This window comes from Homo sapiens, chromosome 14, assembly GCF_000001405.40.
Source record: "Homo sapiens chromosome 14, GRCh38.p14 Primary Assembly".
Classification (NCBI taxonomy): Eukaryota; Metazoa; Chordata; class Mammalia; order Primates; family Hominidae; genus Homo; species Homo sapiens.
Window position 1 is genome coordinate 56,660,855 of NC_000014.9, and position 26,189 is coordinate 56,687,043.

Consider the following 26,189-nt stretch of genomic DNA (forward strand, 5'->3'; position numbering starts at 1 on the left):
TGCACCTGTCCACAAGCTGGGTGAAGGGTGTTTGGCAGTTCCACTTAGTTTAAAAACCAAACACAGTCTCCTGCCTCAAATACACACATTTGTTCTGAAGGGACAGCAACATGACATATGTAAACAAACATTCATCCATAGGCACTCTGGTTTGCAGCTGAAGGAAAAGCTGGAGGCGGGAGTGGGGACACAACATAATAAAACCAAACAGACAACCATGCTAAAGAAAAAGGCACCAGCCTCCCTCCCACTACTGCCCAGGTGTCAGGTGGCTGCAGGAGGCAACCACAGACTGTCCTGTCCACGCTGGAGGATCCAACCCTGGGCCAGGTACCAGCCTAGTGGGTCTGGAATCCTGGTGGTCGCCACCCCTCCTCCTCCTAGACTCTGCCTCTCCTCTGGAATTCTTCCCCACAATTGTGGATGCTTCCATAGGATCTGAGGTGAGAGGCGTGGGAAAATGAAAAAGGGGAGAAACCACAAAGCCTGCTTCTGGGTAGGGAACCAGGAATGCCCTCGGTGGTGGAGCAGGAGACTTGCTTTTCACTCTGTGCCCTTGTTAGCTCTGAATTTTGTACCATGAGCAAGTGTTACCCAATCTTAAAATGGATAGACAGACAGGTAGTTGGTGAAAGAAAGAAAAAGCAAGAAAGAAGGAAGGAAGGGAGGGAAGGAGGAAAGGAGGGAGGGAGGGAGGGAGGGAGGGAAAGAGGGAAGGGAGGAAGGGAGGGAAGGAAGGAATTAAAAAAGGGAAAATTGTAGTGAAACAGGACCTGGCCTAAAGGAATGACTAGCCAATTCCTAGACTTGTTCTCATGGTCAGCCTCTCCCTGCCATGTGAGTGAGTTTCCCCTCTTGTCATAGAGGAATAATTGTCCTTTCTCACAGGCATATGTTCTATTGCAGATTTTGTTATCTTTTCTCCTTTGAAACTTGAGTTTGTTGTTTATATGACACTGTTACTTTACAAATGGCCTTCTCCCGTCCACACATGTGTATGTGGGGGTGGAGTGGGAGTCCTTACTCCTGTGAGAAGGGGGAGAAAGAGGCAGAGAATGGAGAGAGGCTATTCATCATTAGAAAGGTTGTGACAGAAGAATTAGACCTTCGGGATTATAAGTTTAGGTCTCAGGGTGAGTTCAAGTTTAGTGTGAAAGTTAGGGCCCCCAGAGGTCTGCCTTTCATTCACTCCTCAAAATCTGATTGCTGTTACTGCCACAGAAAGTTGTACATGCATCCCAAGTGGCAAGAGCCATGATTTGGCTTCTACATAGCTGCAGCTATCAAGAGAAAGTCTAAATCTTGTCTGTCTTCTCAGATAGCTACTTTTCTTGTCTAAACATCTTTCCGCCAGAAGCTATATTTAATATTGCAAACAACTACTCCCGTGGTATATAGGTCATGGATTTATTGCCAAGAACAGGATCCATTCCACCTAGTTTAAGCATTAAATGGCTGACAGAATTATGAGGAGGGTGAAGAGACAGGCTCTAGGTTTAACCTTCCCAAAGATGACTCTCAAAACTTCTCTGCAGAGCCCGGCCACCAACAGAACTGCGGCCTTTCGCAACCAGGAAGCTCCCTAACAAGATGGGAAGCTACTGCTTTTGTCCCAAACTCCAGAACCATGACACCCCTGCTATATCTCAGAAGCCACCGTGGTCAGGAAGTTACTGCAACTGCTACAACCAGAACCACCCCTGTGCCCACTAGAATCCACACAAATTAAATGGCTTCCCCAACACTGCCTTTCAACACACACACAAAGCTACTGATTAGACACAGGGAAACTATCTCCGACTAGGCTTGCCCGCAAAAACAATAGAAAATGTAGGCTGTGTCTCACTGCCACCTTCTGAATCCCACATGAGTGTATCTGAATGGCCGAACTACGCTCACATCCAGAACCCTCAGTGCAAGGGCATTTGGGAAGCACAGTTTTAATTGTCCAGCCTCTGCAGTACACAAAACATTCTAGAAGGCAGTTGCATTGGCCGGGCACCCTGGCTACGCCTGTAATCCCAGCACTTTGGGAGGCCAACGCGGGCGGATCAGCTGAGGTTGGGAGTTCGAGACCAGCCTGACCAAGATGGAGAAACCCCCGTCTCTACTAAAAATACAAAATTAGCCAGGCGTGGTGGCACATGCCTGTAATCCCAGCTACTCAGGAAGACTGAGGCAGGAGAATCGCTTGAACCCAGGAGGCGGAGGTTGGGGTGAGCCAAGATCGCGCTGTTGCCCACCAGTCTGAGCAACAAGAGCAAAACTCTGTCTCAAAAAAAAAGCAGTTGCATTAAATGTTGAGCATCGATACACTGTATTTGTCACTCTTTAACAATTACAGAAATGAAAACATGGGTTTTATTTTGAAAAAGCATATTTACAAACTGTACACAAGAGTAAATTTTTTTTAACCAAAAACAAATGCACATTCAGAAGTGGGTAAATTAGTAATGCAGGAATTTTCAACAAGGGTTTATGGGTACTGAGATCAACCCAAAATAATGAGGGTTAAGAATTATATATTTCTGGCCGGGCATGGTGGCTCAAGCCTGTAATCTCAGCACTTTGGGAGGCTGAGGCAGCAGGAAGATCATCTGAGATCAGGAGTTTGAGACCAGCCTGGCCAACATGTATCTATTTATGTGACATCCAAAGCACACTAATCAGTACATTGATTAGAACATGAGGAAGAGCAAAAGATAGCCAGTTTTACCCAATAATGACATGAAAGCTAGGTGAAGACTTCTCTGAAGACTAGAACTGAGAAGGGAAACTATTATTTCATCAATAGAATGGGTTAAAGATGCAGCGTGATCTTGCCAGTCTGCAGGAATTGGATCTGCATGCATGAGCAGTTGGAATCAGCATACTTCCAAAAAGATCAGAAGGCCTTCGTGTAGAAAAGTAATGCAAAACAGAAACCACAACATCTTCTGTTCTTTTTCGTCATTTGAGAAGCCATTCTAGGACTACTTGGGTGTGAGTGGAAGCACATCCTTGGGACACTGCCCAAAGGCAGAGTAGGAAGTATGAGAACTGGGACAGTTATTTGTGCTACAAGAAAAGAGCAGCTTACAATAACAATTTCTGGGAATTCAAAATCAAATGACCGGGGAGACTCCAAGACACACTCTTCCAAGGCTCTCAGAAGCTGGATGAGCACTTATAAAGAAAAGCATTCCCTATGACCAAAACACAGAGATCACTGATTACAACAGAGACAGGGGGTGCAAAGGAGCAGAAAGACACGGCAGAAATTATCCTGCGGGGAACCCTCCCAAAGCCTCATGTAGTTCGTGATGGAAGTCAGAAGTCCAACTGAGAAGCAGAGCATGAAACAGGGGTCTGGGTCCTGGTGGCGGTGCAGAGTGCAGTTCCCTGATGTCCCCCCGCATCAAGGTCAATCCCGTTGTGCCTCGAGGGGAAGCAGAACCAATTGTTTGAAAGCTTTGAGTTACTTATGACTTTCAGCATAGACATGAACTGTTTTAATATTTTCATTTATTTACGTATTTCACATTTTTAAAAAGTATCTGGCATGTGTCAAGTAATATGAAAAACAGGAAACTTTAAGGGGTTTATACTTTTATGAGGACCTAAGATAGGTAAAGGAGCAATTGCATTATAAGGTGTACTTGCTCTTATAAGGGAAACATAGAGGGTTGTACGGGAAACCTATCTAGACTCAGAGTGGAGGATGTCAAAGAAAGCTGGCTGGCAGAGCGGACTAACTGAGCTGCAGGGAGGAGGAGAGTTAGCAGGAGAGGGCAGATGACTGGGGAGTGCTAGAGTAGGAGGGGAAAGAGGATTCGGGAACAGGGATGAGCAAGTGCAAAGCCTTGAAGGGGAGAGAGGACAGCACGTTCAAGGAATTTATAAAGTAATTCTGAGTGGTTGAAATGCAGAATTTAGGACAGGTGTGGTGGCTCACACCTGCAATCCCAGCTCTTGGGAAAGATGAGGTGGGAGGATCGCTTGAGGACAGGAGTTTGAGACCAGCCTGAGCAACACGGTGGGACCCCCACCACTACCCCACCCCAGCCCCCACTCCCTGTCTCTGAAAAAAGAAAAAGAAAAAAACTAGCTGGGTGTGGTGGTGCAAGCCTGTAGTCCCAGCTACTCCAGAGGCTGAAGTGGGAAGATTGCTTAAGCCCGGGAGTTTGAGGGCACAGTGAGCTATGATCGCACTACTGCACTCCAGCCTGGGTGACGGAGCAAAACCTGTCTCAAAAAAAAAAAAAAAAGTGCAGGATTTGAGTGGAAGTGGCAAGAAATGAGGCTAGTGAAGCATAAACCAGCTGATAACGATCTTGAGAGCCACAGTACAGAGTTGGGTTTTATCTGGAGGACAGTGGGAAACTAGGGGAAGGACTTTAAGCTGGAGAGTGATACCACGTAAACTTTGAATGACCGTGGTGACAGCAATGTGGAGAATAGACCGGGTTGGGGTGGGGCACGATGGGAAGAAAAGAACCCAGTCAGAGGTGGTTGCACTTACACCGGGTGATGATGTGGCCTGAACTAGGTCGATAACAGTGGGGAGAAAGAAAAATGAACATATTCTAGAAACCAAACCCTGAACAGACTCTTAACACTGCCCGGCCATCCTGGCAAGCATGACTTCTCACTCTCCAAGACAAACATCCCAAGCTTTCTTCTCTCCACACTTCAGCTCCCACTCCTCCACCTCTTAGCTATCTAATGTAGTTGAGAAAATAGAAGCCTTTAGAGAGGATTTCCCTTTTCCCTTATATCATACCTGTCTGCTTCTGTGTCTATCTTCCCCTCTTCCGCTCCTGAACCACCGCCTTCTCAAGGACTCTCTCTGTTCCTTCAGTTCTCTCCTCTTCTGTATCCTTTCGTCGCTCTCCCTCTCTCTCTCTTTCTCCATATCACACACCCTGGTGTTCTCCATCTGGAGAGACGCTTTTCCTTACACTTCAGCCGTTTCCTATTATACCCTATTAAGCCTTCATACCCTGGGGCTGCCTCTTTCCCAGCTCACCTGGGTTCATTCTACTCCTTGCGCCTACACTTCAGCCACACTGGCTCCAAACACTCCAAGCCTTTTCACCTGAGGGCCTGTGTAAAAACTGCCCTGTATGCCTGTAAAAGAGTGTTCCTTTGTACTAGGTTGAGTAGTATCTCCCCAAAATTCTGGCCTTATTTGAAAATAGTGATTGACAGTGATATAGTGACAGTGATACAGTGACAGATCACTATTTAAAATAGTGATTTGAAAATACAGATTGACATCTATAGATGTCAATTTGTTAAGGTGAAATCACACTGGATTAGGGTGAACCCTAAATCCAATGACTAGTATCCTTGTAAGAGGAGAGGACACACAGAGATAGAGACATGGAGGGAATGTGACCATGTGGAGGTGGAAACTGGAGTGATGTGTCCATAGGCCAAGGAATGACAAGAAGAGTCAGTTTTGATTGAGGAGAAAGGAAAAAAAAAATGGTTAGGCAGACAGGGTGGCTCTTCGGTTGAATCCTTTCAAACAAAAGAACAGCCGGCAGGGACAGATAAGGGAATTTGCACAGGAGGGCTTACCTGAGACATGCCACAGCCATATAGATAAGAAAGCCTGCACAGGTGACTTGCCCAGACATGCCCGCAATGGAAAATTCCATTCCCTGACACATGTGCAGTAAGGGGAACAAAGCAATATGGAATAACTCAAGCTAAGGGCCCACACGCGCATTAGGAAGATGGGGTGGAGCTACCAGAAATTTGTGCCTTAGGCAGATGAGACACCCGGCCCTCATTGATTTCCTATAAAAGCCTTTGTACGCAATTGTGAAAATGGCAGCCCTCTTCTGGGTACCCTCTCTGCAGCAGAGAGCTTCTTTCCCTTATTAAACTTTTGCTCCAACCTCACCCATTGTGTCCACCGTCCTGAGACAAAGAACTCTGGATGATACCTTATAATGAGAAACTGCTACATTGTGGCACATTGGTGAGACTGTAACAGTTGGAGGGAATTTGTTACTGCAGCCCTAGGAAATTAATACATCATTCTTCACCCATGACTCATCCCTTCTCAGGCATCTCTTCCTAAGGAGGTCCTTCCCTGGCCCGCTTACCTAAGAGTATTGCTATTTTTCTCCTTTGTTAAAACTAGTTTATTTTCTTTATAGCCCTTAGCATGAGTGGAAGTCATACAGGTATAGTTTCATTTTTAGTTTTGTTATCTGTTTCACACGCTAAACTGTAAGCTCCCAGAGGGCAGACACCATTATCTACCTTTCTAGTACTGGCCTGAAACATGGTCAGTATCCAGTAAATGTTTGACAAACTAGTGAAATAGTGAATGAATGAATGAATGAATGAATGAATGGGATATTGAGAAGCTAGAGTGGATAGGACTTGTGACTGCTTTGATGTGAGGGGAAGGGGCTGCAGGGGCAGAAATTCCAGGTTCTGGCTTCAGTCCTTGGTGGATTTGGGTGTCCTGAGCACAAGAAGAAGAGCAAGTTTAGAAGAAGGATAATGAGCTCAGTGTTGGAGTTTTGAGTCTCAGGTGCCCATGGGGCATTAAAAATAGATGTCCAGTAGCTGGTATCCCTGTTCCTGCCTTTCTCTGCTCTCACTCCTACCCCCTCCTCAGTCTATCCGCAACACAATAGCCAGAAGGAGCCTTTAGAAATACAAGCAGATGGGGGGAGGAGCCAAGATGGCCGAATAGGAACAGCTCCGGTCTACAGCTCCCAGCGTGAGCGACGCAGAAGACGGGTGATTTCTGCATTTCCATCTGAGGTACCCGGTTCATCTCACTAGGGAGTGCCAGACAGTGGGCGCAGGCCAGTGGGTGTGCGCACCGTGCGTGAGCCGAAGCAGGGCGAGGCATTGCCTCACCTGGGAAGCGCAAGGGGTCAGGGAGTTCCCTTTCCGAGTCAAAGAAAGGGGTGACGGACGCACCTGGAAAATCGGGTCACTCCCACCCGAATACTGCGCTTTTCAGACCGGCTTAAAAAACGGCGCACCACGAGACTATATCCCACACCTGGCTCGGAGGGTCCTACGCCCACGGAATCTCGCTGATTGCTAGCACAGCAGTCTGAGATCAAACTGCAAGGCGGCAGCGAGGCTGGGGGAGGGGAGCCCGCCATTGCCCAGGCTTGCTTAGGTAAACAAAGCAGCCGGGAAGCTCGAACTGGGTGGAGCCCACCACAGCTCAAGGAGGCCTGCCTGCCTCTGTAGGCTCCACCTCTGGGGGCAGGGCACAGACAAACAAAAAGACAGCAGTAACCTCTGCAGACTTAAATGTCCCTGTCTGACAGCTTTGAAGAGAGCAGTGGTTCTCCCAGCACGCAGCTGGAGATCTGAGAACGGGCAGACTACCTCCTCAAGTGGGTCCCTGACCCCTGACCCCCGAGCAGCCTAACTGGGAGGCACCCCCCAGCAGGGGCACACTGACACCTCACACGGCAGGGTATTCCAACAGACCTGCAGCTGAGGGTCCTGTCTGTTAGAAGGAAAACTAACAAACAGAAAGGACATCCACACTGAAAACCCATCTGTACATCACCATCATCAAAGACCAAAAGTAGATAAAACCACAAAGATGGGGAAAAAACAGAACAGAAAAACTGGAAACTCTAAAACGCAGAGCGCCTCTCCTCCTCCAAAGGAACGCAGTTCCTCACCAGCAACGGAACAAAGCTGGATGGAGAATGACTTTGACGAGCTGAGAGAAGAAGGTTTCAGACGATCAAATTACTCTGAGCTACGGGAGGACATTGAAACCAAAGGCAAAGAAGTTGAAAACTTTGAAAAAAATTTAGAAGAATGTATAACTAGAATAACCAATACAGAGAAGTGCTTAAAGGAGCTGATGGAGCTGAAAACCAAGGCTCGAGAACTACGTGAAGAATGCAGAAGCCTCAGGAGCCGATGCGATCAACTGGAAGAAAGGGTATCAGCAATGGAAGATGAAATGAATGAAATGAAGTGAGAAGGGAAGTTTAGAGAAAAAAGAATAAAAAGAAATGAGCAAAGCCTCCAAGAAATATGGGACTATGTGAAAAGACCAAATCTACGTCTGATTGGTGTACCTGAAAGTGATGCGGAGAATGAAACCAAGTTGGAAAACACTCTGCAGGATATTATCCAGGAGAACTTCCCCAATCTAGCAAGGCAGGCCAACGTTCAGATTCAGGAAATACAGAGAACGCCACAAAGATACTCCTCAAGAAGAGCAACTCCAAGACACATAATTGTCAGATTCACCAAAGTTGAAATGAAGGAAAAAATGTTAAGGGCAGCCAGAGAGAAAGGTCGGGTTACCCTCAAAGGGAAGCCCATCAGACTAACAGCGGATCTCTCGGCAGAAACCCTACAAGCCAGAAGAGAGTGGGGGCCAATATTCAACATTCTTAAAGAAAAGAATTTTCAACCCAGAATTTCATATCCAGCCAAACTAAGCTTCATAAGTGAAGGAGAAATAAAATACTTTACAGATAAGCAAATGCTGAGAGATTTTGTCACCACCAGACCTGCCCTAAAAGAGCTCCTGAAGGAAGCGCTAAACATGGAAAGGAACAACCGGTACCAGCCGCTGCAAAATCATGCCAAAATGTAAAGACCATCCAGACTAGGAAGAAACTGCATCAACTAACGAGCAAAATAACCAGCTAACATCATAATGACAGGATCAAATTCACACATAACAATATTAACTTTCAATGTAAATGGACTAAATTCTCCAATTAAAAGACACAGACTGGCAAGTTGGATAAAGAGTCAAGACCCATCAGTGTGCTGTATTCAGGAAACCCATCTCACGTGCAGAGACACACATAGGCTCAAAATAAAAGGATGGAGGAAGATCTACCAAGCAAATGGAAAACAAAAAAAGGCAGGGGTTACAATCCTAGTCTCTGATAAAACAGACTTTAAACCAACAAAGATCAAAAGAGACAAAGAAAGCCATTACATAATGGTAAAGGGATCAATTCAACAAGAGGAGCTAACTATCCTAAATATATATGCACCCAATACAGGAGCATCCAGATTCATAAAGCAAGTCCTGAGTGACCTACAAAGAGACTTAGACTCCCACACATTAATAATGGGAGACTGTAACACCCCACTGTCAACATTAGACAGATCAACGAGACAGAAAGTCAACAAGGATACCCAGGAATTGAACTCATCTCTGCACCAAGCAGACCTAATAGACATCTACAGAACTCTCCACCCCAAATCAACAGAATATACGTTTTTTTCAGCACCACACCACACCTATTCCAAAATTGACCACATAGTTGGAAGTAAAGCTCTCCTCAGCAAATGTAAAAGAACAGAAATTATAACAAACTATCTCTCAGACCACAGTGCAATCAAACTAGAACTCAGGATTAAGAATCTCACTCAAAGCTGCTCAACTACATGGAAACTGAACAACCTGCTCCTGAATGACTACTGGGTACATAACGAAATGAAGGCAGAAATAAAGATGTTCTTTGAAACCAACGAGAACAAAGACACAACATACCAGAATCTCTGGGACACATTCAAAGCAGTGTGTAGAGGGAAATTTATAGCACTAAATGCCCACAAGAGAAAGCAGGAAAGATCCAAAATTGACACCCTAATATCACAATTAAAAGAACTAGAAAAGCAAGAGCAAACACATTCAAAAGCTAGCAGAAGGCAAGAAATAACTAAAATCAGAGTAGAACTGAAGGAAATAGAGACACAAAAAACCCTTCAAAAAATCAATGAATCCAGGAGCTGGTTTTTTGAAAGGATCAACAAAATTGATAGACCGCTAGCAAGACTAATAAAGAAAAAAAGAGAGGAGAATCAAATAGACACAATAAAAAATGATAAAGGGGATATCACCACCGATCCCACAGAAATACAAACTACCATCAGAGAATACTACAAACACCTCTACGCAAATAAACTAGAAAATCTAGAAGAAATGGATACATTCCTTGACACATACACTCTCCCAAGACTAAACCAGGAAGAAGTTGAATCTCTGAATAGACCAATAACAGGTGCTGAAATTGTGGCAATAATCAATAGTTTACCAACCAAAAAGAGTCCAGGACCAGATGGATTCACAGCCGAATTCTACCAGAGGTAGAAGGAGGAACTGGTACCATTCCTTCTGAAACTATTCCAATCAATAGAAAAAGAGGGAATCCTCCCTAACTCATTTTATGAGGCCAGCATCCTTCTGATACCAAAGCCAGGCAGAGACACAACCAAAAAAGAGAATTTTAGACCAATAACCTTGATGAACATTGAAGCAAAAATCCTCAATAAAATACTGGCAAACCGAATCCAGCAGCACGTCAAAAAGCTTATCCACCATGATCAAGTGGGCTTCATCCCTGGGATGCAAGGCTGGTTCAATATATGCAAATCAATAAATGTAATCCAGCATATAAACAGAACCAAAGACAAAAACCACATGATTATCTCAATAGATGCAGAAAAAGCCTTTGACAAAATTCAACAACCCTTCATGCTAAAAACTCTCAATAAATTAGGTATTGATGGGACGTATTTCAAAATAATAAGAGCTATCTATGACAAACCCACAGCCAATATCATACTGAATGGGCAAAAACTGGAAGCATTCCCTTTGAAAACTGGCACAACACAGGGATGCCCTCTCTCACCACTCCTATTCAACATAGTGTTGGAAGTTCTGGCCAGGGCAATCAGGCAGGAGAAGGAAATAAAGGGTATTCAATTAGGAAAAGAGGAAATCAAATTGTCCCTGTTTGCAGACGACATGATTGTTTATCTAGAAAACCCCATCGTCTCAGCCCAAAATCTCCTTAAGCTGATAAGCAACTTCAGCAAAGTCTCAGGATACAAAATCAATGTACAAAAATCACAAGCATTCTTATACACCAACAACAGACAAACAGAGAGCCAAATCATGAGTGATCTCCCATTCACAATTGCTTCAAAGAGAATAAAATACCTAGGAATCCAACTTACAAGGGATGTGAAGGACCTCTTCAAGGAGAACTACAAACCACTGCTCAAGGAAATAGAAGAGGATACAAACAAATGGAAGAACATTCCATGCTCATGGGTAGGAAGAATCAATATCGTGAAAATGGCCATACTGCCCAAGGTAATTTACAGATTCAATGCCATCCCCATCAAGCTACCAATGACTTTCTTCACAGAATTGGAAAAAACTACTTTAAAGTTCATATGGAACCAAAAAAGAGCCCGCGTCGCCAAGTCAATCCTAAGCCAAAAGAACAAAGCTGGAGGCATCACACTACCTGACTTCAAACTATACTACAAGGCTACAGTAACCAAAACAGCATGGTACTGGTACCAAAACAGAGATATAGATCAATGGAACAGAACAGAGCCCTCAGAAATAACGCCGCATACCTACAACTATCTGATCTTTGACAAACCTGAGAAAAACAAGCAATGGGGAAAGGATTCCCTATTTAATAAATGGTGCTGGGAAAACTGGCTAGCCATATGGAGAAAGCTGAAACTGGATCCCTTCCTTACACCTTATACAAAAATCAATTCAAGATGGATTAAAGATTTACATGTTAGACCTAAAACCATAAAAACCCTAGAAGAAAACCTAGGCATTACCATTCAGGACATAGGCGTGGGCAAGGACTTCATGTCCAAAACACCAAAAGCAATGGCAACAAAAGCCAAAATTGACAAATGGGATCTAATTAAACTAAAGAGCTTCTGCACAGCAAAAGAAACTACCATCAGAGTGAACAGGCAACCTACAACATGGGAGAAAATTTTCGCAACCTACTCATCTGACAAAGGGCTAATATCCAGAATCTACAATGAACTCAAACAAATTTACAAGAAAAAAAAAAAAAAAACCCATCAAAAAGTGGGCGAAGGACATGAACAGACACTTCTCAAAAGAAGACATTTATGCAGCCAAAAAATATATGAAAAAATGCTCATCATCACTGGCCATCAGAGAAATGCAAATCAAAACCACTATGAGATACCATCTCACACCAGTTAGAATGGCAATCATTAAAAAGTCAGGAAACAACAGGTGCTGGAGAGGATGTGGAGAAATAGGAACACTTTTACACTGTTGGTGGGACTGTAAACTAGTTCAACCATTGTGGAAGTCAGTGTGGCGATTCCTCAGGGATCTAGAACTAGAAATACCATTTGACCCAGCCATCCCATTACTGGGTATATACCCAAAGGACTATAAATCATGCTGCTATAAAGACACATGCACACGTATGTTTATTGCGGCATTATTCACAATAGCAAAGACTTGGAACCAACCCAAATGTCCAACAATGATAGACTGGATTAAGAAAATGTGGCACATATACACCATGGAATACTATGCAGCCATAAAAAATGATGAGTTCATGTCCTTTGTAGGGACATGGATGAAATTGGAAACCATCATTCTCAGTAAACTATCGCAAGAACAAAAAACCAAACACCGCATATTCTCACTCATAGGTGGGAATTGAACAATGAGATCACATGGTCACAGGAAGGGGAATATCACACTCTGGGGACTGTGGTGGGGTGGGGGGAGGGGGGAGGGGTAGCATTGGGAGATATACCTAATGCTAGATGACAAGTTAGGGGTTGCAGCGCACCAGCATGGCACATGTATACATTATGTAACTAACCTGCACAATGTGCACATGTACCCTAAAACTTAAAGTATAATTAAAAAAAAAAAAAAAAAAGAAATACAAGCAGATGACATCGCCCTCTGCTCATCATCCTCTGATAGTGCTAACATCTTATTTATTTATTGTCTGACCTCCCCTATTCTAGTGACCTCTATGCTTCATGAGGATGGGATTTTTGTCTGTTTTGTTCACTGCTTGTACATCCAGCACCTACAACAAGTGTCTGGTACACACGAGTGGTCAGCAAAATATTTGTGTAATAGATAGATGATACTCCAGTAGGAATCTGGATTATGGGTCTGGCACTCAGTAGTGAGTTCTGGTCTAGAGATGAGGACTGGAGGCCACCAACAGATAGATGGTACATGAAACCCTTGCAGTGGATGTGACCTCCCATGGGAAGGACATAGAGTAGGAATAAATAAGGGGCAAGGAAAGGGCCCTGAGAAACATCAATCTTTAAGAGAAAGGCAGAGGTGAGGCCAGGTGCGGTGGCTCATGCCTGTAATCCCAGCAGTTTTGGAGGCCAAGGAGGGCAGATCACTTGAGTTCAGGAGTTCAAGACTAGCTTGGCCAACATGGTGAAACCCCGTCTCTACTAAAATACAAAAATTAGCTGGGTGTGGTGGCACACGCCTATAATCCCAGCTACTCAGGAGGCTGAGGCAGGAGAATCTCTTGAACTCGGGAGGCGGAGGTTGCAGTGAGCCGAGATGGTGCCACTGCACTCCAGCCTGGGCGACAGAGCGAGATTCCGTCTCAAAAAAAAAAAAAAAAAAAAAAAAAGAAGGGCAGAGAAAGTGATGTCCCCAAAAGAAAGAAGAAGCCTGTGTGATACCAAAAGACCAAGAGGAAAGGGCATTTCAGAGAGGGGGTGATCCAAAGTCAAAGCCACTGCGAAGAAGCAGTGTAAGAACAGAGATGCGAGGGTGGTTTCCTAGGATGACAGTGGAGAGTCCGATTTCAGTCTGGAGGAATGAGTGGGAAATTAGGACGTGAAGACAGGAGCTGAGCCACTGACATGGACAACTCACCAAGAAATCAGACTGAGAAGGAGAGTGAGGGTGATTACTGAAGGAGAACTTGTGGGTCAGTGTGGATGTTTTGGTTTAATGATTGGAGCCCGTGGAGCCAGCTTAAATGCAGATGAGGAACAGGTGAAGGAAACAGCTTTCAGACACAAGTGAGGGATGGAGATGCCTGACAGAGTGCAGAGAACAGGATATAAAACAGGTAAAGCAGGGGAAGCCCTTTTGTGAAGCAGAGATACAGAAAGATGGGGCAGTAGCATATGACAACGAGCACTGATTTCTTACTTACACACCTGTGATAAGACTAGAGTTTGGCCGATCCAGGTTAGGCACAGCTGGGCTTGGCTTCAGGCTATTTAGAACGTCTCATTTCCTGGGATTGGCCGAGCAGGATGTCTTTCTCATTGCCATGACAGAAGCCAAGAGGGAAAACCCAACTATGCAAGCACATCTCTATGCAGTGTGTTTGGGCAGTAGCAAGTAGGTCTGAGTGCCTCATAAATAGGAGTGAAGGCTACAGTGATGGGGAGAGTGTGGGATGGCTGGTGGGGCCGTCTACAGAAGGGCGTTGTACGCCATTCTCAGGGCTTCGAACTTTATAAGAGAGTGGAAGCAACATGAGGCCAGAGGAACATATGGGTTTGGGGTATTCAGCGTTACCTAACGTGTATTTAGCCCTCCAAATAGCAGCCAGATGCCAAACAAATAATGAGAACCTGTTCCATTGACAGCATGCTTCCTCTTTCAGGATACCATGCCCAAACCTGAAAGAGCGATCTTTTGAGATGACTTTGCAGTTGCCCTTTCCCAGACGATCGTTGGCTTCTCTCTTCTAACCAGCTCCAGGGTATTGAACAGTGACCTCTCCATGCTGAGACAGGGCTGCATTAACATCTTCAAGGCCCTCTTCACTCCTGCCTGTGGCAGCCAAGGAGTGGTGTGTCCCTGTAGGCCCCCCTGCTAACTTAGGCTTGGTCTTCAACATGACCTTCAATTTATCCCTGAATTGGAGTAGAGAGGATTTTGCCTTTCTCCATATACCATCTGTAGGAACCTGAGTTAGCCTGGCAGAGAAAAACACATGATCTCTTTGGAATGCTTGATGCCCTTGGAGGCTGGTGATAATGGCAGTCCCCAACGTTGACAGGGTCATCTCTCAACATCACTGTGTGTTCTGGATGGTATTTGATAACCACCAGGAAAGAGAAGGAGACCTCAGCATCATGATGCTGTTTCTTCCTGGATTGTTCATATGCTCTTGCCTTTCCTTCCATAACTCAGAGCTAGTGCAGGGGTGGGTGCCTGTGGTTCAGACAGTCCCTCTGTTCCCAGATCCTTTGTGCCCTGGCATTGTGCTTGCAAGATGCGACATTGCTTTCCCCCATCTCATATGCTGGCCAGAAGCAGGACATCCCAGCATCCCAAAGTTCCATAGGTCCACATGAGAAACACTCCATTTACTACTACTTTTCGGCTACAATCTTATTTCTTTGCCTTTGGAGAGTGGCATAAAGCTTCCCACATCGTTCTCTACCTACCCATTCAGAATAAAGTGTGTAATTTTTTGGTAAATTGCGATGTTTCTAGGGCAGGTCAGGGATCCACACTGAGCTTTCAGACGTTCCTCACTAAGCCTGTTGTCCAGCACGCCTTTGCATTGTACTGACATAACCTGTTTGCTTCCTTGAGATGACTGAGTGTTTCCCTGGTTATTAAGGTGGAGCTTGGCCAGCCCACTCCAGCCTTCTGAATGTGCAGAGCACTTGCTTTCTGTGTCTTAAGGCATCCTTCCAGGAGCATTAGCCTTGGGTGAGGAGCTAGGGTGTGGCATGTGTTTACGAGTTCATGATCCCATCTTTCTTTCTCATTTGGGAGACCCCTGCAAGGTGTTGGACCTGACCTCTCTGGGCGTCAGCTTCATCTAGAAAATGTAGGCAATAATATTTCCTCTATAGGATGCTGAGGGGATTCAATGACATAATAAATGCAAACTGGCCCATGCTAAGTGCTCATTCAGAATCTATTGCTGTTATTATACCACAAGCCAGGACTAGGCACTGGTTTTCCCCTGACTGTTATTCCCTTCTGTCTTATTCCATTTGGGATGCTAGAACAGAATAACATTGAGTGACATATAAGCAATAGACATGAATCAGGAGTCTGGGAAGTCCAAGATCAAGGTGCCGGCAGACTCAGTGTCTAGTGAGGGCCCGTTTCCTGGTTCCTTGAGGAGTGCCGTGGCGCAATCTCAGCTAACTGCAAGCTCCACCTCCCGGGTTCACGCCATTCTCCTGCCTCAGCCTCCCAAATAGCTAGGACTACAGGTGCCCGCCACCACACCCAGCTAATTTTTTTGTATTTTTAGTAGAGATGGGGTTTCACCATGTTAGCCAGGATGGTCTCGATCTCCTGACCTCGTGATCCACCCGCCTTGGCCTCCCAAAGTGCTGGGATTACAGGCGTAAGCCACCGCGCCCGGCCGGGAGTCCTTTTTATAAGGGCACTAATCCCATTGATGAGGGATTCCCCATCATAACCTAATTACTTCCCAGAGGCCCAGTCTCCAAATACCATCACCTTGAGGATTAGGATGTCAACATAGGAATTTGGGGGAAACACAAGCATTCAGTCATAGCACCTTCCTTCCCTTATTCCTGGACAATTTATTTCCCTTCTGGCTCAAACTCTGTTAGACTCAGCCTGTGGGCCACTGTGTGCTGCCCTCCCTTTCCAGCCAGAGTGGCTGTAGTGACAGCTTGACCACTCCCAGGGTCATGGATCCAGGTCACTGCTGCTGCTGCCATCACCCCAGCAGACAGAGGAGTCCACTGGCTGCATTGTTCTCTCAGGCGGGGGCGCTGGCCTCCCCAGTGGCTGCACAGAGACAGGTAATGCAATCCACAGTGCAAAAAGGTAAATCACTTATGGGCCAGACTCTAGCCAATGGAAGACAGGGATGGAAGGCAACTCTTGGTATGATTTATCTCCCTTTCTCCTCCTGGACAGACTGTGATGCAGTTCACATAGTCTTTCTAATGAACCCCACAAGATTGAGCAATCAGTGGCACCTGTTTCAAAGCTGAGACCAGCTCAGTAACATGCTCCCATATTTATCTCACTGCTTCTCTGCCTCACTTGATTTGCCCCTCACTTCTGCTTCCCTACGATTGTACCCTGCACCCCAGTAAAGGGTAACCATGTAAACTATTGCCTTTGACACTGCCTTTTAGAGGACTTGGGCCAAGATGCACAGATATTTTTTACCTAGCATACCTGGCAGGTGATCATAAATATGAGACAAAGACATGGGAGGACAATGATGAGCAGAGGATAAGGAGCTCACCATGTCATGGCCAGTCTTTCCACCATGGGTTTGAGCACTCTTTTCTCTGTGAGTTGGTTTGCATTCATGTACGTTGGTTTTGGTCTTTCTTCCTGGAACACATGGTGTGAGTCCCCTACTCCTCTACTAATAGTACTTTTCATTTTTTATCCACAACAATGGGCTTCCTCAGTCTTCTCCAAGTTAGACACAGCTAATCTCTTCATTCATTAAAAAGTGGTTTCCAGGCTCACACCTCCCATTGTTGTCACCTTCCAGGGCCATGGTGTCCAAGATCAATGTTCCTCTTGAAAGGCAGCTTCCAAAAAGAGATCCAATGTTGCAGGTGTAAACTGAACAGGACAGAGGCTGCGTGTGCTGTACTTTGGCCCCTCCCTTTGCTGACAACTGCATTAGATTATCCATCAACTCTCACCTGATCCACTGCATTTGAAGCATTGTGATCACCTCATTAAACAGCAGAGGGGAGCCAGTTTTCAAAAAAAAATAATATTTATTACATAACACCCTTTCAAAGTTTCCTAATCTAGAAAACTGGGCAGTACATTGACATCATAGAAAGAAAATTCATGAATTTTGGAGTCCAGTGAAATTGGATTTGAATCTAGGCTCTCACTGGGAAAATTGGATAGCCAAATGCAGAAGAATGAAACTGAACCCCATCTCTCCCCATATACAAAATCAACTCAAAGTGGATTAAAGACTTAAACATAAGACCCAAAACTATAGAAATACTAGAAGAAAACCTTAAAAAAAAACTCTCCCAGACATTGGTCTAGGCAAATAATTTGTGACTAAGTCTTCAAAAACACAGACAACAGAGACAAAAATAGATAAATTGGACTAAACTAAAAAGCTTCTATACAGCAAAGGGAGCAATCAACAGAGCAAAGAGAGAACCTGTTGAATGGGAGAAAATATTTTGCAAACTATTCATCTGAAAGAAACTAATATCCAGAATATACGAGGAACTCAAACAACTCAACAGGAATAAAAGGTCCTATTAAAAAGTGGGCAAAGGAAATGAATAGATAGTTCTCAATAGAAGACATACAAATGGCCAACAGGCATGCGAGGTATATTTTTTGAATGCTCAATATTACTAATCTTCAAAGAAATGCAAATCTAAACCACAACGAGATATCACCTTAACCCCATCAGAATAGCTACTACTAAAAAGACAAAAATTAACAGATATTGGTGAGGATGTGGAGAAAAGGGAACTCTTACACATGGTTGGTGTGAATGTAAACTAGTACAGCCACTATGGAAGACTGTATGGAGATTTTTCACAAAACTAAAAATAAAATTACCATTTGATTCAGCAATCCCACTACTGGGCATCTACCCAAAGAAAATGAAATTAATGTATCAAAGGGATACCTGCACTCACATATTTATTGCAGCACTATTCACAATAGCAAAGCAATAGCAAAGATATGGAATCAGCAGATGAATGGGTAAAGAAATGTGTTTTATATACACAATGGAATACTATTCTGCCATAAAAATAATGAAATCCTGTCATTTGCAGCAGCATGGATGGAGCTGGAGGCCATTATGTTAATTGAAATAAGCCAGGCACAAAAAGACAAGTATTGCATGTTCTCACTTAATATGAGGGAACTAGAAAATTTGGTCATATGAAAGAAGGAAGTGGAAAAATAGCTAACAGAGACTAGGAAGGATGAATGGGGTGAGCGAGGAGGAAGAAGAGAACTGGGTCAAAGGGTACAAACATACAGTAGTAAAACAGAAGGAATAAATTCAATGTTTGATAGCAGAGTAGTGTGACTATACTTAACAAAAATGCATTGTACTTCGACACCCTGAAAACCCTGACTTGATCATTATGCATTATATACACGGAACAAAATTTCTCATGTGCCCCATAAATTTGTATGAATAACTAGAAAACAAAGCTTTGTGACCTTAGGCAAGTGACAATTTCAATGAGCCTGTTTTCTCTTCTTTAAAATAGGAATATTGAAATCTACCCCACAATACTACTGTTAGCATTAAATTAGATAATATAATAGTGAGTGTTCAATAAGTGGTGGACTTGACCATCCCAACTCACTGAGCCTCTGCTTCCTTAAGGGTGGCTTTGAGACACAAAGTGCTCTGGACTGGACATGAAGAAACTTGGATGCTGGTCCCGATTTTCTTTCTTCACATAGCATGAGGACTATGATTTCTGTTCTACATAGTCTTTAGGGCTAATGTGATATCAAAGAGATAGTGCAGATGGAAGTGACTTAAAAAGGGGTAAGGTAAACATAGGGACCTTTATTTTATTTTTACTTAGCTGATATTTCAAGTGCATTTGCTGTGGGTCAGGCACTGTGCTAGGCAGAGTGGATACAGTAGTGTAAAAACTAACCACAACCCATCCTCTGCCACATCGTGACTGTAAGGAGGCTAGGGCTAGTGTCTCCATTTATTCATGGGGTTGGAGGATGTTTTCAAGCCTTCTTTTTATGGATAGGCCCAGCTAGATTTCAGCTTGGCTTTTCAGGCCAACCAACCTCTAATCTGAAATAAGTTACCTGCTAGGGCTACTTTCTGGGTTGTGTGGGGTGAAGCCATCAGCAGATGGTAATTCTGTTCTTGCAAAGCACTGAGTTTGCAAGAACTGTGCAACCTTCTAGTTTAGCAACCTTACCCAAATTCCGGAACTTCCCTGAGCCTCATTGCTACCCTGTAGAATGGGCACATTCCCTATGTGGCAATATACTTTGGTAATAAACATGACAGTTGATACTCCATCTATTTCATTCCTTCACCATTGTATAATGGTAGAATTACCATCTGAAGAAACAGAGATGCTTCCAGAAGCTATTTTAAAACAGGAGGGTAATTTTGATACTGTGGATTATAAACAAGAAAACTGGATGAAACTAATTACTGCAGTAAAAAATTCATGATGGGGCGGGCGCAGTGGCTTACGCCTGTAATCCCAGCACTTTGGGAGGCCAAGGCAGGCGAATCACGAGGTTAGGAGTTCAAGACCAGCTTGGCCAACATGGTGAAACCCTGTCTCTACTAAAAATATAAAAATTAGCTGGGAGTGCTGGCAGATGCCTGTAATCACAGCTACTCAGGAGGCAGAGGTTGCAGTGAGCCAAGATCACGCCACTGCACTCCAGCCCGGGTGAGGGTGCGAGATTTTCTAAAAAAAAAAAAAATTATAATGGTTGTTTGAGTTGTTTTCTTTCCAATAGACTGTGGGCTTCTCTAGGGTAGGGACTTTGATAGGCCTGGCACATAGTAGGCATGCAAGCAGTGCTTACCTTGATGCATAGAAGTTTGTCAGTCAGTGAATAAAGACAGCAGTATTCTAAGCAAAGTGCAATGTTCTGGACCCAAAAAAAATGGCACTGCGTGGTTAGGAAAAATGAGAAGTTAAAAAATGCAAAGGATATAGGCAAGAATTTGTGGAGCTAAGTTTAGGGCGAATGATACCATCTTGACAGTGAAGAGTCTTTTATGTCATAGTAAAGATTTTTTTTAATTAATAGACTTTATTTTTTTGAACAATTTTAGATTTATAGAAAAATTGGTCAGAAAATACAGTTTCCATCCTCTCTTACCCCCTTTCTCTTCCCCGCTAGTTTTCCCCATTAATATCTGGCATTAGTGTGATACATTAGTTACAATTGATGAATCAATATTGATACACTATTATTAACTAATATCTATAGTTTACATTAGGGTTCACTCTTTGTGTTGTTCAGTTTTACGGGTTTCGACAAATGCACAGTGTCATATACCCACAAGTGTGAATCACACAAAAACAACTTCACTGCCCTAAAAATCTCCTATTTTCTACCCATTAATCCTCCTCCATCTTCCCTGAAACCCTTGGCAACCATGGATCTTTCTACTGTCTATATTTTTGCTTTTTACAGAATGTCATATAGATGGAATCGTATAGTATGTAGCCTTCTCAGAATTACTTTTTCTTTTTTTAAAAAAATATTTTATAGAGACAGAATCTCGCTTTGTCACCCAGGCTGGAGTACAGTGAGATGATCATAGCTCACTGCAGCCTTGAACTCCTGGGATCAAGAGATCCCCCCACCTCTGCCTCCTGAGTAGTTTGGACTATAGATGCTGGTTACCATGCCTGGCTAATATTTTTATTTTGTAGAAACAGGGCCTCGCTACATTGCCCAGGATGGTCTCAAACTCCTGGCCTCAAGTAATCTTCCCATTTCATCCTCCCAAAGTACTGGGATTACAGGTGTGAGTCACTCTGTGCTTGGTCCAGACTGGCTTATTTTACTTGGCAATGAGCATGTAAGGCCCCTCTAAGTCTTTTCGTGGCTTGATAGCTCACTTCTTATTACAGACTAATATTCCATTATATGGATGTACTTGAGTTTGTTTATCCATTTGCTTATTGAAGGATATCTTGGTTGTTTTCAAGTTTTTGACAATTGTAAATGTCAGGTTTTTGTGTGCGCATAAATTTTCAACTCATTTGTGTAAAACACCAAAGAGTGTGATTGCTGGGTCATAGGGTAAGACTATGTTTAGCTTTGTAAGAAACTGCCAAACTGTCTTCAATAGTGGCTATACCATTTTGTATTCCCACCAGCAATAAACGAGAGTTCCTGTTGCTCTATATCCTCACCAGGATTTGATGTTGTCAGTGTTTTGGTTTTTATCCATTCTAATAGATATGTAATGGTATCTCACTGTTGTTTTAATTTGCAATTCCCTAATGTTGAGCATCTTTTCATGTGCTTATTTGCCATCTCTATATCTTTTTTGTTGAGATATCAGTTCAGATCTTTCACCCATTTTTAAATTGGGTTGTCTGTTTCCTTACCGTTAAATTTGAAGAGTTCTTTGTGTATTTTGGATACAAGTGCTTTATCAGTTAGGTGTTTTGCAAATATTATCTCCCAGTCTGTAGCTTGTCTCTTCATTCTCTTAACAGTGTCTTTTGCAGAGCAGAAGTTTTTAATTCTAATAAAGTTCAAATTTTTGATGTTTTCTTTCATGAATCATTTTTTTGTGTGTGTTGTATCTAAAAAGTCATCACCCAATCCAATGTTGTCTAGATTTTCTCATATATTATCTCTAGAAGTTTAATAGTTTTGCATTTTACTTTAGGCCGATGATCCATTTTGAATTAATTTTGCAAAAGGTGTAAGAATTACATCTGGATTCCTTTTCTTTTTCCTTTCTTTGCATGGTCCAGTTGTTCCAGCACCATTTGTTCCAAAGAATGTCCTTTCTCCACTGAATTGCCATTACTCCTTCGTCAAAAATCAGTTGGCTATACTTGTCTATTTCTGTGGGTCTATTCTATTTCATTGATTTATTTGTCTATTCTTTCACCAATACTATACTGCCTCGATTACTGTAGTTTTATCATAAGTCTTGAAGCTGGCTAGCATCAGACCTCTGACTTTTTCTTCAATGTTGTGTTTAGTCTTCTTGGTTTTATTTGCCTTTCAATATAAACTTTTTTTTTTAACTCAAGATTTTATTGTCTTCCTAATCAAACAAAAGATGACACTTAGAACTGGATCACTTGGCCCTCACTCTTCTTACCTCCTCCCCATTCAAAACGCTTGCATCTCTTCATAGCCAGCATTCTTTTAGGTCTGCAGATGGGCTCAATGCACTCAAGCCTTAGCACAATCTTCTTTGTAGTTTTAGCCTTTTTCCAGAAAATCGGCTTAGTCTGCCCACCACAGCCACTCTCCTTCCTGTCGTAACGCCGCTTTCCCTGGGCCTACAGAGATTCCTTGCCCTTCTTGTACTGTGTCACTTTGTGGGGTTGGTGCTTGCCTCACTTCTTACAGAAAGTCCAGTGAGTTTTAGGAACATTCACCATGTTTGCGGGAGTGCTATCGGTAAGGAAAAAAAAAAAATATATATATATATATATAAACTTTCCAATCAATTTGTTGATACTCACAAAATAACTTGCTGGGATTTTGATTAGCACTGCATTAAATCTATGGATCATGTTGGGAAGAACTGACATCTTAATAATATTTAGCCTTCCTATCCATGAGCATGGAATGTCTTTCAATTTATTTAGCTCTACATTGATTTCTTTCATAAGTTTTTTAGTTTTCCTAACATAAATGTCATACACATTTGTTAGATGTATACCTAAGTATTTTTTTTTGGTATGTTAATGCAAAGATGTTTAACTTTGTATTATAGGTGATAGCAAGTCAAAGACGTTGCTACACAAGAGAATAATATTGTACATTTATTTTTGAGAAGATGGTTCCACTAACAGTGTGGAAGTTGGACTAGATCTGGGTAAGATTGGAGGTAGGAAGACCAGTTAAAAGAATTTTTTTTAATGTGTACAAACAGAAGTAAAGGCTTTAACTGAGGAATTGGCAGATATGGATAATAGTAAGTCTCATTCAAGAAATAAGGCAAATAGTAAGGATTTACTATTTAGTAAGGTTCTTTTCCTGAGAAGCCTAGGCAGACAGACATTCCAACAGCCTTGATGACTCTACACTAATCTTCACATCCCCCAAGGGATTGGCATTTTAAGGCCAAAATGATAGTGTTAGCTGTCTGCCCAACATCCGCTTCTCCCCTGCCCCTTCTTCCTTTCCAACACAACCCCAACTTTGCTCGAGTGTCTTCCTTTCACACCTGGCCAAGTATTAGAAGGGAAGCCAACTTCAGGAGTGGCTTGGTTGGTCTAAGAGTGACCCCAGCCTCCTTGACAAGATGGGATCACAAATGGACATGTGGGCCCTCTGGCCAGTGAGACAAAAGTAGTCTGCTGGAGGAGGTGGAGACATGGGCTAGACCATTTTTCCTCCATCCTAAGAGAAAGCAACAGGAAGAAATAGTCTTCTGTCTTGCTCTGCAGCTTGTTCTTTTTGTGACTCCCAGAACTGCTGCAGCCTTATAGCTATGAGTCCAAGGATGGGGCCAACAGTGAAGATGGTATAACCCAGAGAAGGCATTGTTGAGCCACTGAATTTTAAAAAAAAAAAATCACATTTCTTTATTATTTTAGGCAGTTTGAGGTGAGATTTCTGAGATCTATATCTGAAAGCACTCTATTTGTTACACCTGCTCTTACTTAGCAACTAAACTCCAGGAATCTTGCCTGCTATCCACCCACTCCTCTGGGGATTTTAAGTTCTTTCTTGGCATCAGATGAGATCATACCCTGAGAGTAGGACTTTGCCCACTGCTTCACTGCTCTGTTTCCCTTACTAGAGCCTGACACTTAGTAGGCACTTGATAAATATCAAATGCACCAGTGAATAAATGAAGTACCCCAAAGCTAAATTTTATTTCTTTTTTTATTTTTTAGAGATGAGTTTTGCTATGTTCTGGAATACAGCGGCTATTCACAGGCATGATCATAGTGCACTGTAGCCTCAGACTCCTGGGCTCAAGTGATTCTTCCAACTCAGCCTCCCCGGTGGGACTACAGGCACATACCACCATGGTGGACAAGAACTAAAATTTGATTCACATTTGTGTAGCTACCCTTCACCCCACACTTTGCTTTATCCCATTAAGATTTACCATTATTGAGTTGTGATTGATAAATGCCCTTTGCAAATGCCAAAGATTATAGCAAGAAAGAGCAATATCAGAATTGCGTCTGCATTTACTATACAACAAGATTGATAGACACACTGTATAATGTTTTCAAAGTTTCCTATGCAAAGTCTCCTAAAAGAAAGTTAATGCGCCGGGCACAGTGGCTCATCCCTGTAATCCCAGCACTTTGGGAGGCTGAGGCGGGTGGATTACCTGAGGTCGGGAGTTTGAGACCAGCCTGGCCAACATGGTGAAACCCCGTCTCTACTAAAATTACAAAAATTAGCTGGGCGTGGTGGTAGGCACCTGTAATCCCAGCTACTTGGGAGGCTGAGTCTGGAGAATCGCTTGAACCTGGGAGGCAGAGGTTGCAGTGAGCTGAGATTGCGCCACTGCACTCCAGCCTGGGCAACAAGAGTGGAACTCCGTCTCAGAAAACACACACACACACACACACACACACACACACACACAGAGAGAGAGAGAGAGAGAGAGAGAGAAAGAAAAGAAAGTTAATGCCAGAAGAAAAAACAAAAAATCTCTCTTAGAGAATTGTCCCGCTTCCTTCTAATAGGTTGTATGGACTGTCTCATTGGGTATCCTTTCTTGCCCTGGCTGCCAGGAAGCTCAAGGCCTAATCTGATGCTAAATCACAGTAATTCTATTATACTTCCTAGTCAATGCTTGGTTCTTCTCCTTTCCATGGCTTTGCTTTTCTAATTTTAGTTGAATGACTTTATTGTGTTTGCCTTTTTGTAAGTTGCTTCAAATCCTTTTCAGAAAGAGGTGCATATAAAAAAATTTAACAGCTCAATTCTAAAAAGCCATGGTTGGCACCACTTGCTCTTTGTAATAGCCTGGGAGGGCCCCCAAAGTAGCCTGGTGCTTTATCTTTACAAACACATGTCAGCCAGAGCAGCGGTGCTCACCGGAGATCTCGGGAGACAAGGGCAAAAATCACCCGTCATTTTCTACTGAATGGGTGTCTGGAGGACCATTCAGGCTCCTAGTGGCTGGATTTGGTGGGGAGGATTAATGTGGAGAGCCCTTGGAAAATCAGCATTGCTCCTGCCTGCACCGGCTATTGTTCCAGAGGTGAATGTTCTATTTTGAAGATAGAATCTCTCTCCTGCCTGGCTCCCAACCCTGCAAGCTTTGAATGCAGGGTGCCGTGCCCTTTCCCCTGACTCTGGGCCACAGGCCTCTCCAGCCAGCCCTCTGTGCCAACTGGCAGAGGGTGCTCTTGTATAGCAGATCTGACTCCCTCCCCACGCCTGAGTGCCTGAGGCCTTTCAGCTCCAGCCTGCTGCCTCGACCTGCTGGGGGCCCAGGAACCCTGCAAGCATAGAGAGGGGGGAAACTCCTATTTTTCCCCAAAACCTGGCCCCATCTGTCCCCAAAATCACTGCTGAGCTGGCCTCATTTACCTTGAGGCTTGTGTGCCCCTCTCTATACCCCAGTTTCCCCCAGATTGCACAGAGGCTATATACGTGTTGGAGGACTTGGGAATTTGGCTTGCTTATAGTATATCATACATATGTGTTCACAAGTGGAGAGGAGGAGGCAGAGAGAGACAGAGAAAAGAATGGGAAAGATACT

General features: G+C 43.5%; 1 protein-coding gene and 1 pseudogene across 1 annotated transcript in view, besides 2 other annotated features; one reads left to right on the top strand and one right to left on the bottom strand.

Annotated features, from left to right (window-relative positions):
- TMEM260 (transmembrane protein 260) overlaps positions 1-2,311 on the top strand; it is an 83,641-nt gene extending 81,330 nt beyond the window's left edge. Inside the window, exon 17 of the transcript XR_007064017.1 lies at positions 1,536-2,311. The gene's annotated coding sequence lies outside the window, so the exon portion shown is untranslated. The remainder of the gene's footprint in view (positions 1-1,535) is intronic.
- Positions 5,060-6,259: an enhancer, noted in NCBI's record as "MED14-independent group 3 enhancer chr14:57132632-57133831 (GRCh37/hg19 assembly coordinates)". NCBI's record gives its function as "activates an origin of replication core promoter dependent on BRD2, BRD4, P300/CBP and CDK7 cofactors, and independent of MED14, by STARR-seq in HCT116 cells {active_cell/tissue: HCT116}" and the evidence as "EXISTENCE:reporter gene assay evidence [ECO:0000049][PMID:35650434]".
- Positions 14,271-14,440: an enhancer, noted in NCBI's record as "experimental_34331 CRE fragment used in MPRA reporter constructs". NCBI's record gives its function as "activates a minimal promoter by MPRAs in K562 erythroleukemia cells, with activity observed for both the introgressed and non-introgressed 14:57141928 variant alleles {active_cell/tissue: K562}" and the evidence as "EXISTENCE:reporter gene assay evidence [ECO:0000049][PMID:34662402]".
- Positions 22,523-22,919, bottom strand: RPL36AP1 (ribosomal protein L36a pseudogene 1; annotated as a pseudogene).